The 12,422-nt window shown below is 38.5% G+C and overlaps 1 protein-coding gene across 18 annotated transcripts in view; it reads left to right on the forward strand.

Moving 5' to 3' along the window:
- SYT16 (synaptotagmin 16) overlaps positions 1 to 12,422 on the forward strand; it is a 300,664-nt gene that overhangs the window by 241,179 nt on the left and 47,063 nt on the right. The window contains exon 1 of one of the 18 annotated variants that reach the window (XM_011537227.2): positions 4,272 to 4,388. The exons of the other annotated variants lie outside the window; for them this stretch is intronic. Coding sequence (XP_011535529.2) covers positions 4,286 to 4,388 — 103 coding nt within the window. The 5' untranslated portion in view covers positions 4,272 to 4,285. Of the gene's footprint in view, positions 1 to 4,271; positions 4,389 to 12,422 lie in introns of those variants that run through there. 18 annotated transcript variants of the gene reach the window in all.

Consider the following 12,422-nt stretch of genomic DNA (forward strand, 5'->3'; position numbering starts at 1 on the left):
TTCTTAAGTATCTGGACTCTGACCGGAACTTACGCTATTGGTTCCCCTGGTTCTCAGACCTTCAAAGTCAGACTGAAACTACATCACTGGCTTTCTTGGGTTTCCAGCATGCTGACTGCAGACCTTGGCACTTCTCAGCTCCCATGATTGCATAAGCTCATCTCTTATAACAAATCTTTCTATACACATTTATATCCTATTGATTCTATTTCTCTGCAGAACCCTAATACAGTATTGTACTAATTTTTAAATTCCTTTGTTCATTCACTATTGAAGCATGTGCTTTATTCTTAATAGTATAATAGATGTTAAGGGCAGAGACTAGAAAAGTATGAATTAAGACTGCAAATTCCTCAGAAATGTTAGGGGAGTCACGACTACATAAACCTATTTAGAAAATGTAAATAAGAAAATAATAGAAGGTAAACTAAACTCTGTATGACAATTATGAAAATGAATGGAACAAAAGGCATTATTATACCTAGAGCAATTTTTTGTTCAATGGTGCCAGGCTTGTTTTTAGGTGGTTGAATGCCTAAAAAGTCGAGGTGCTTTTTGTGGAACCCCATGAAACTTTAATGGATTTATTTTCATCATGAATCAGGAACCATTTTACCAGTGGAAAATATGACTAGATTATGGAAGCCATTTAACAGTCATAGCCGTGAATGTGCATATCCATGACAAAGCAAGCTGGGGAAAGAAACATGATTAGCTATTTCCAAGTTTCTTTGCTAATATTCATGTGTTTTATTACCTGCTTATTCTTGTCAGCATGTGTGTGATAGCAGGCATCCACGGCATAGAAGTGTTAGGGGAAAAGTGAACATTTAGAAAACCTTTTCCATTTTTCTTTTTGCAAATGGAGAAGAGTTATTTATTATTAGATTTTATCAGGGAATCATTTGGGGGCTGCTATTCTAGTATAAGCATACCACCACCAAATATCTGATCTACAGATTGTATGATTTTTTTTTTTTGAATATGGCCTTTATAAAAGCTGTTACTTAGTGAAGTGAGTTTTTTTTTTTTTTTTTGGAGATAGGGTCTCACCCTGTCATCCAGGCTGGAGTGCAGTGGCATGATCATGGCTCACTGCAGCCTCAATCTCCCAGGCTCAAGCAATCCTCCCACCTCAGCCTGACTAGTAGCTGGGACTACAGGTGCGTGCCACCACGCTCAGCTAATTTTTGTATTTTTTTGTAGAGGTACAGTTTCCTCATGTTGCCCAGGCTGGTTTCAAACTCCTGGACTCAGGTGATGTGCCTGCCTTGGCCTCCCAAAGTGCTGGGATTACAGATGTGAGCCACTGTGCCTGGCTAGTGAGTCTATTCTTAATATTCAGTCTATTTATTTTCAGTTGTGATATATTTGGATATATTCATTATAGAGTCGATGCTGAAGGGAGTTTATAACTGCCTTATAGAAATTATCTCTGTAGCTTGACTTGCCTCTGTTGTGAGATAAAAGAATAACTTTAGAAATTGCCTTGAGGATGATTTACAGCATGGGATAGGAAGACTAGTGAATAAACTGAACAGCTAGAAAGCTAGAAACTCACAACACCTGAAAATTGCAAGAGCCATTCATGATCTTTTTCAGCCTGTTTACACATCCCAGGCCCTTCATTTTAGAATCTATGGCAATGAGATTAAAAAAAATCTTTCTAGTCAGAGAATTTGTAAATTAAAATGTTGACTCAACATTTGCTTGTAAGGATTCATTGGAGTGATAGAGAAATATTGGGGGTTTGGGGAAAGAAAGCAAGAACAACCGTTTGGTTTTGTGTTTTCTCTGCATGTGCAGAAATTTAATTATCAGGTCACCTCAGTTCTCAGCAGAGTAAATTACAGTCTTGGCCATTCATTTGTATGCAAATGCCACCATAGTAGGAAAACAACACAACTCTTGGGTCCTATCAAGCAATTCCCTTATAGGAGGCATACAAATGAGACAGCAGAGCTTAAAAGAGTCAGAGAGGCTGACAGTTTCACACTTGCTTTTGTCTAGGTGAATCTTTTTGCAGTGATGAAACAGCTTAGAGTAATCATCAAAGCCAAATGTTCAGAAAACATCGTTACTTGAGAGAGTCCTTGCAGTGAGAAAGGAGGGCGCAGTGAATCTGACTACAGATATGAATCTGTTTAGAATACTACCTGTGGTGAGGGTTTTGTGATCCCTGCAGTCAGAACCAATCACCCTACCTGTCAGTACTTTCATCATGGCTCTTCTTTTATCTTTGATGGATTTGGTCTGGCGGGGAAAGAAAATAAGCCTCAAAGAGGCTAGAGGAGCCCTTGATATAGGGTGGATCCCTTAGGTGAATAATCAGCAACACAAATCCCTGCTCAAAAATGCAAGGACAACTTGGGGCTGATATAGGTGTATTAGTCAGGGTCCTCTAGAGGAACAAAGCTAATAGGATGGATGTATATATAAAGGGGAGTTTATTAAGGAGTATAGACTCACATGATCACAAGGTAAAGTTCTGCAATAGGCTATCTGCAAGCTGAGGAGCAAGGAAGCCAGTCTGAGTCCCAAAACCTCAAAAGTGGTGAAGCCGACAGAGCAGCCTCAGTCTGTGGTCGAAAGTCCAAGAGTCCCAAAGCTGAAGAACTTGGAGTCCGACGTTCAAGGGAAGGAAGCATTCAGTGTGGGAGAAAGATGGAGGCCAGAAGACTCAGCCAGTCTACTTTTTCCACGTTCTTCTCCCTGCTTTTTTTTTTTTTGCTTTTAAATAGTCAAATGTTTATAATAAACGTATTTTCCAATCTCGAAATGATTATCAGTGGTAACAATGATCAACGTAAAATAGATGTGACAGGAACATCACGACGTTTGATTATACTTACAGGAAACACAAAGCTACAGTGAAATACTATCTCACGTCTACCAGGTCTGCAAAATCCAGCTTGGGCAAGGGTGTCACCAGCCCCTTCTTATGCTGGTGGAGGAGGGCGATTTGGTACCACCCCTTTAGGGGCCTAAATACAGCCCTCGCACTTCTACACCAAGGAATTTAACCTAAGAAAATAGTCTGACCTGGGCAAAAAAGGGTTTGTACAAGGAATAGTCAGGCTAGCATTGTTGGTTATAAAAGACAGCAAAAACCCTAAATTTCTACAGGAAAGGGGATAAAGTCTGGTGCTATAAAACTCCGTTTCCGGATGAATCCCACCTGTATCTGAATGCATGGGGCGCTCTCCAAGCTACGTTAAGTATAAAGGCCCCGAGTAAAGTAACTGACCTTTTGCAGAAACGCACGTAGATGTTCCTGCATAGACTTTCTTTGTAGACACATAAGAAACGGGTTTCTCTCTGCCCCAGGGGAGAACTGGGCCTTGGAGGTTAGGACTGGGAAAAACACATCAAGTCTTCACCAAATACCCATTCAGGCTCCTTGAATTTTCTACTCTGTGCACCTGAACACACTTTTGTTCTCTTGCAAGCAGTTGCTTTGCACTGGAGGCAATGAAGACACGGCGGAGTCCCAGCTTGCAGGGAGCTTAGGTTCTGACGGCGTCGGAGGACAACACGCTCTGGACGAGCGCGGCGCCCAAGGGTCAGCGGCAGCAGCGAGCAGGGGGCACGGGATGCAGGGAGGCTCTTCGGGAGGCATGAAAGTCAGACGTGTTCCGAAACGTGAGCCGCGCTGGGGGGCACGGCGCACGACCGGGGACAGGAGGAGGACACTGCGGTCGCAAAGCCCAGGCCGTGCAAAGGCCCCGTGGTCAGCCAGGAGCCCAGTTCTGCCTGCTTTTTATTCTGGCCATGGTGAAAGCTGATTAGATGGTTCCCACCCAGATTGAGGGTAGGTCTGCCTTTCCCAGTTCACTCACTCAAATGCCAATCTCCTTTGGCAACACCCTCACAGATATACCCAGGAACAATACTTTGCATCCTTCAGTCCAATCAAGTTGACACTCAATATTAACCATCACAATAGGTAAACACTTTTTCTCATAGGCATAAATATAGTGGGCTGAATATGGCACCAGAAGGGCCCAGGTTGTAGTATCATTGTATTCAGAGTTAGTTGGGTTTGACCTTAGTTCGTGGCTGTTGGGACAGGGAAGAGGGTCCAATAACTAGAGACATGGGGGTAGGGTCGGACAAGTAAGCTCTCGGCTGGATTTAAAGGTTTGTCTAGGAACTCACAATATAAATAGGAATGCCAGAAGAACTTCCCAGGTAAATACAGTGGGGAGTAGAGAAATGCAACATTTCATGGGTACTTGGGCTTCTTTCCTAGGTTTAGGGCAGGAAGACAAGTACTTATTGGCTCATGACTTATGGATTTGAGCTTTCTCAACTGCACAGAAATGACTTAATGCTGGGAATATTTGAGTCACCAAGGGGAGATCCTCTGGGTCTCGCAAAGGAAAGAGGTAAGGCTGCTATAAGATATAGATTTCTTTTAAGCTACTTAAAAAAACTCCATTGAGGCACACTTGAAGTACAATAAACCGCACATACATAAAGTATACAAGTTGATGAGTTTTGACATATTGTACTTGTGAAACAAATACCACAGTCAAGAAAACATATATTTACATCACTCCAAAAATTTCCTCCTGCCTCTTTGTAATCCATCTCTCTCTCTAACCCCACCCCAGGCAACCATGGATCTATTTTCTGTCACTATATATTATTTTGAATTTTTAGATTATTATAAAAATGGAGTTATATAATGCACATTCTTTTTACCTTTTTACCCACTAGTTTAATGCTTTTGAGATTCATTCGTGTTGTTGCAGGTATAAATAGTTCCTTCCTTTTGATTTCTGAGTAATATTTCATTGTATTTATATACCACAATTTGTTTATCTGTTCATGTGTTGCCAGGCTTTTGGTTTGCTTCCAGATTTTGACTATTACACATGAAGCTTCTATGAACATTTGTAAGTCTTTGTGTGAACATGTGTCTTTGTTTTTCTTGGGAAAATATCTGGAAGTGGGTGGCTAGGTTATATGGTCAAATGTATGTTATGTTTAAATTCTTTTTTTTTTTTTTTTTTTTTTGAGAAGGAGTCTCGCTCTGTCACCCAGCTCTGTCACCCAGGCTGGAGTGCAGTGGTGCAATCTCGGCTCACTGCAACCTCCGCGTCCCAGGTTCTTCTGTGAGTGATTCTCCTGCCTCGGCCTCCTGAGTAGCTGGGATTAGAGGCATGTGTCACCATGCCCAGCTAATTTTTGTATTTTTTAGTAGAGATGGGGTTTCACCATGCTGGCCAGGCTGGTCTCGACCTCTGATCTTAGTTGATCTGCCCGCCTTGGCCTCCCAAAGTGCTGGGATTACAGGCATGAGCCACCATGCCTGGCCTAAATTCTTAAGAAACTGCCAAATAGTGTTCAAAAGTAGTTTTATCATTTTACATTTTCACCAGGAGTGTATGAGGGCTCCAGATGCTTTGCTTCCTTGACTTTGATATGTTCAGGTTTTTAAAATTTTGTCGATAGCAAAGACATGGAATCAGCCTAAATGTCCATCAGTGGTAGACTAGATAAAGAAAATGTGGCATATATGCACCGTGGAATATTATGCAGCCATAGAAAAGAATGAGATCATGTCCTTTGCTGGGACGTGGGTGGAGCTGGAGGCCATTATCCTTAGCAAACTAACACAGGAGCAGAAAATCAAATACCACATGTTCTCACTTATAAGTGGGAGCTAAATGGTGAGAACACATGGACACATAGAGGGGAACAACAGACCCTGGGACCTTTGGGAAGGTGGAGGGTGGGAGGAGGGAGAGGATCAGGAAAAATAACTAATGGGTACTAGGCTTCATATCTGGGTGATAAAATAATCTGTACAAAAAAACCCCCATGACGCAAGTTTACCTATGTAACAAACCTGCACACGTACCCCTGAACTTAAAAGTTAAAAAAAGAAAAGATTTTTAAAAACAGCCCTCAATTTATCGGTATCTCATGTGATTTTACTGTGTCTTACCCTGATGATCACTGATGTGGAGCATCTTTCATTTGTTTATAGGCCATTTGTACACATTAATTTATGAAGTGTCTGGATTTTTAAATTTTGTTGGTTGTGTTATTTATGAGTTGTAAAGGGTCTTTATAAATTCTAGATAGAAGCCCTTTATTTTCCCTCAGCCTATGGTTTGCCTTTTTGTAAATGACATTGTTCAAAGAGCAAAAGTTTTTAATTTTGATGGAGTCCAACTTAGCAATTTTTTTCTGGTATGGTTAATGCTTTTGTATATCCTAAGGTCACAAAAGATTGCTCTGAAGTTTTTCCTTGGGTATTCTATAGTTTAAAGTTTTACAGTTAGATTTAGGATTAATTTATATATATGTAATTGATACATATATATAATTTATATATATGTATATATATACATATAATTTTTATATATGTATAGCTACATATATAAATTAATCAAAATCATATATATGTGTATATGTATACACATACACACACACACACACACACACACTCAATGTGAGATAGAAGGGTTGATGTTTCTTTTCACAAATAGATACCCATATGCTCAAGCATCAGTTTTTGAAAAGACTTTCATATTGAATTACGTTGGCACTGTTGTGAAAAAATAATAGACCATACTTGTGTGGCACTATTTCTGGACTCTGTATTCTGCTTCATTGATTTATTGATCTATCCTTTTGCCAATAGCAAGTTGTCTTGATTTAATGTAGCTATATAATAAGTCTTAAAATCAGATAGGTGGGTCCCCCTACTTTGCTCTTCTTAAAAATTATTTTGACTACTCTAGGTCCTTTATGTTTTCTTAAACACTTCAGAGTCTACTTGTCAAACTTGACAAAAAATATCTGTTTGGATTGCTTTAAATCATTACACTGGTTGAGGGAAATTAGCATCTTAACAATATTGAGTCCTCTATTTTCTCTCAGTAATGTTTTAATGCTTTTAGTGTGAGAGTTTTGAATGCCTTTTGTTAAATTTACTTCTAAGTATTAGTGCATTTTGATGCTCTTTCTAAATGGAATTTTTAAAAAATTTCATTTGTAATTTGTTAGTAGAATATAAAAATAGAATTGATTTTTATATAATGACCTTGCCAAATTCACTAAGTAGTTCTCACAGTTGATTTTAGCTATAGGGTTTTAGTAGATTCCCTACACTCCTTTTCTTTCATGATTGAGAAATATCCATAGGATGGTGAAATTTTTTTTTTTTTATCAGAAATTGACAATAAATTCTGTCAGCATTGTTTTCTGTATGTGTTGAGATGATTATTTGGTTTTTCTTTTTTATTGTGTTAATTTGGTGAATTGCATCAACTTTAGTATCTTAAACCAACCTTGCCTCTCTAGGGTAAACCTTATGTGGTCATAATATATAATCCTTTAAATACATTATTGGATTTCTTTTTTTAATATATTGCTGAGGATTTTTTATGACTATAATCATAAGAGATATTGGCATATGATTTTCTATACTTGTAATGTCTTTGTTAGAAGGAGTTTATATTAGGATTATGCTGGCCTCATAAAATGGGTTGAGAAATGTTCTTTCTTTCTCTTCTTTCTATAAGAGTTGTGTAGAGATTGGTACTATTTGATATTTATTGAACTCTATATCCCAAAACTGCAGAACACTCTTTTCAAGTGCATGTCATTATGATCAACTGTATGTCAAGGTACAGAGATAATAAAAGATACAGTATTGCATTGTGGGGTTGATAAACTGTGAAGTTAAATATGAGATGACAGTAACACAAAGGAGAGGGGAGGTAAATTATTTATGCTGTTGCAAAGTACAAATCATTGTAGAGTGGTATAATATTGTATAATGCAACGTGTAAATTTTGTAAATTGATATAACACTGGCTTAAAATAGACTGTGATTCACTTAGGACACAATCCCTAGAACAACCGTTGACAGAAGAAAATGAAAATAGGTATAGCCAAAGAACTTAATAGACAAATTAAAATTGAATTCTAAGCAAACAGGTTATTAACACATGCATAAAGTAGTAAGAGCAACTGAAGATGAAAAAACAGATGCAACAAATAGAAAACAAACAGCAAAATGACATACCTAAACCTAGCAATGTTCATACATTAAATGCAAATTAAATAAATATCTCACTTGAAAGTACAGATTGTCAAAATGAAGAAGAAAGCAAGACCCAACTGTATTATAGCTATAAGAAGCATACATTAAATATAAACACAGACGGGTTGAAAATGAAAGAATTAAAAAATATGAGTTATGCAAACTGTGAGCATAAGGAAGCTAGTGCAGTTACATTAATATCAGACAAAGTAGACTTCAAGACAAGGAGTATTAGGAAAAAGAAAGAAGTATGTTTTGTAGTGGTAAAGTGGTCAATTCATCAAGAAGACACAAAATTGTAAGTGTGTATGCACCTATTAAGGGCTTCAAAATACATGGAGGAAGACGTAACAAACTAAAAGGGGAAATAAAATTTCAAAATAAAAGTTAGAGATTTTAACACCTCTTTCTCAGTAGCTGCTAGAGCAATGAAAAAAAACAGCAAGTATATATATAATCTGTGTTCCCTTCTTTCAGAAATTGGATCTCCTCCAATTTCTGCCTGCTCTTGCTCACCATGCCTTCAAATAGTTGACTTAAAAAATGTTGTTGTGAATTTATAATTTTTTACTTGTAGAGGGGTTAGTTTGAATCACTCTGCCATTATCAGAACCGGAATTTTCAATATTGTAACTTGTTGCCTAGTATAGTGCTTTGTATGTTACTAATTGTAATGGAAGATTTTCTATTTGACTCACTCATATTTAACTATTACAAGTGCCATCGCTTTGTTCCTATGTGAAATGGAGTTGTCAAAACATCTCATACAAGGTTTGGGTGACAAAACAGATGTTTGCAGGAGGACCAGATGTTGATCTTTTTTCTGCCACTTACTAGCTATTTGATTGTACTGAAGTCTCTTAAGTAGCCTCAGCCTTAGTTTCTCTATTTGAGGGGGGGATGAGGGAGAATGAAGGAGTTTGTTTACATCAGTGTTTTTAAAACTTAATGTGTCAGAGTCTTCCTTCTCCCCCCAGCATAATCTTATGAAAATGTAAAGCATATTAAAACAAAATAGCCCTGATTGAAAAGGGTGCAGAGCCCAGCCTGTGCATTGCATCCCTTACACACCTCCACGTCTACGTTGGCATTGAAGCTCCTTTGGGGAACCTTAGACTTCCTCAGGGAATAGTCTGAAAAAAATCAAGACTGGGTAATTTATAAAACTCTTTTCCTAACTTGTTTGAGTCCGGGAATGGCCAGATTGTGCTTTTAGAAATGTGGCCGTTTTTCCTAGGGTCTAATGTGGGCAGTTGTCATCTTTGATCTCCCTTCTGCTTTTTTTTTTATCCTTATTTCTATCCTTATCCAACCAACACAGGCAGCCATTTGCTGTGGATATTGGAGAAATCTCGTATCTAAGGGATTTCCTGAAATTGCAGTTGAAAGTAGCACTCGGGTACTGCACCACTGAGCACAACCCACCCCTACCTGTCTCTACTTCCCGTCTGTACGATGTGAGCAATACTTGCCTCCACTGCATTGCTCCTATGTGGGTGGGAAGGAATTAATAGGCTTGGAGCTACTCTGATCATTTATAATTTTTTTCTCCATCTGTAAAGTAGCAGCAGACAGGCTCAAGAAATCCTCTCTTTGCATCGCCAGTTGGTAATTTTGTTTCCTTAAAAGAAGCAACAAAATGAGCAGGTGTTGGGCACTTCCCACTTCCAGGCAGTGTTGTTAGCTCCTACAGAGCACTCCACCTCCAGGCTTGGGAAAAAGGATTGTAAGGTAAGGTGGGAAGTACAACCCACACTATCAGCTTTATCTCCTCCTGCCTCAGCCCTTGTATTTTCCACCCTTCCACTACAACAACCCTAATGGTGAGTTCTCAAAGTCAGACCCTGGGAGAGGGCACATGCTTTCCTGTGCGTATAAATGCCAAGCTGGAGAAAAGGATTTCCACAAAGGGCAGTGACATGATGGGGGATGCTGATGAAGACGATGAATATAACAATAGTAGTTAAACATTTAAAAAGTATACCATATGCCAGACATATGCTAAGGCCTTTACGTGGCTTATCTCATTTAGTCTTCTCAACAATTTTAAGAGGTAAGGGATATCAAAATGAGGACACTGAAGTTTAGAGAGATTAAAGGAACTTGCTTAGGTCCCAGACTCGCAAATATAATATCCCAGTTTTAAACTCTGTCAGCTTGGCTTCACATTCTGCACTCTTAACCACTCTAGCCGTGGGTGATACTACTCCCAACAGCCAGTTTCTGTCATACTAAGACCCCACCATCCCGTCTCTTTGGAAGATAAAGATGGAATTTCCTCTGCCCCTCCTTCAACTAGAAAAAAAATGATTAAAAATTAGAGAGAGGAACACTCTGGCTTCATAGCAATAGGAACTTGATATTGATAGGTCATTTTTGGATACCTTTCTGCCTGTCAAAGTCATTAACTGCCTGCCAGTGCAAGAAGCCCACAGTAGCACCTTGGTTGTGTGTTAATAAAGGGATGAAGGTGCCGGAGTACATGTATCAGAAAGATTGCGGGAGAGTCAGCTTTCTCTTTGGTGGCAGATGTTTAGATGATATCTGAGATCTGTCTGAATTCTGTGATTGAGTGAAATGAACAGTCTTTCAGCTTCAAGGTGTATCCACATTTACGATAATTGTGTAACTTTTTTTCTGTCACATTAGCAAGTTAATTGGATGAAGAGGTAAAGATTTTAATAAAAATTTCTACTGTATTATTTCCTTGGTACTTAATGGGAAAGGGATTTGAACTTGGTATTTATATGATGCTTCAGAAAATACTATCTTATTGCTGAAATAAGTGTCACAACTTAGATGAGACCTTGTGATTTTCAAAGATTAAGTTAAATGAAACCCACATCAGCTATTTAGTTGGTAGCATAGATACATTGAAAGGCAAGTAGCTGGGATCTTGCAAATAGACAAGAGCCAAACTTTAAATTTGAAAAAAAAAAAAAAAAAAAAAAAAGAAAACACTGGGGAGAGATTGGAAAATGCTATGGAAAAACCATTGACTTGGAACATGGTAGACTTTAGATTGGTGCTTGTTTGGTGCGATGGTGGGCAAATCACTTCAGCTTTTTGGCTTTAGTTTTTCTGTGTGAAATAGAGGGAATAGATGCTCATGAAAATCTTTTCCAGCCCAATATATGTGATTTTATTTTTCTGGTGATAAAACACAGTTGCATCCATTTTGTCCAGAATTTAAGAAGTTTTTTCCATGGGGAAACAGATGGTAGAGGGAGCGTAATGGACTATTAATAACATGGACTTCGGAGCAAGACAGCTTGGGTTTGAATCTTGGCTCACTGCTTATAAACTGTTATGACTGTGGCAAGTTATTAACCTCATTGTGCCTTAGTTTCTTCATTCATAGCCTGGGGATAATAATAGTACCTACTTTCTTAGGTTATTGTGAGGGGTAAATAAGTTAACATATGTCAAGCAGTAGAACAATGCCTGGCATGTGATAAATGCTGCATAAAGGATTGCTTTTATTACTGTAACAGTGCCACTATTGACTTCTATTGCTGCTCAGTGGCCTTTGCAAGAGATCGCAAGTTTCATTTTTAGACTGAGAATTCCCTGAGGTCCTTGGGGAGTGAGGCTTAGAATAGCACGTGTGGATGTGTTTATAATCCCACAAGGAACAATAAGCCTGTATGCACTCACATCTACACTACTACTGCCCTTTTCACTGCTCTGCTCTACCTTTATCCATCACAAAGAAAGCACTCTTCACAGGTTTCAGGGTGGAAGCAGGAGAGCTCCCTGAACCTTACTGTGAGGAGTAAGCTAGATAGGGCTTCAGCTTCCTAATGCAATGAAATCTGATGATATGCAGAGTGGTTAGGGACATAGATGCTACGCTTAAGTCCCAACTTTGGTAATGTCTTAAATTTGTTGCCTTATGACAAGTTACTTAACTTTTCTCTGTCTTTTGTTTCTATCTATATAATCAGAATAGAATTCCTACTTCATGGAATGGGTAGATGCAAAGTCCCAAGAAGGTAGCTGGTATATATGTTTAGTATATGGGAAATGTTATAACTACTGTATGATTGTATATCAGGCAAGGAGAATTTTTGCTCTGTGGATGATCAATGGCTCACTGAAAAAAAATCAAGAACCATATACTAATAAATTAGTTGCAATTATTAATTTTATAGATGGAAAGATATCCATGCATTGGCTAACTCATTTGAAATGGATGACTTATGACTACTTAAATTTTAAAAATTGGCCTAAAAATATAAATTAGAATGGAATCTCAGAGTTGGAAAGCACTCCAATTGTTGTCTAATCCAGACACCCCTCACATTCATGTATCTCCCCAGGTGCTTAGCTGGTCCTGTACTCTAAAGGTGGAAGT

This window comes from Homo sapiens, chromosome 14 (assembly GCF_000001405.40).
Source record: "Homo sapiens chromosome 14, GRCh38.p14 Primary Assembly".
Classification (NCBI taxonomy): Eukaryota; Metazoa; Chordata; class Mammalia; order Primates; family Hominidae; genus Homo; species Homo sapiens.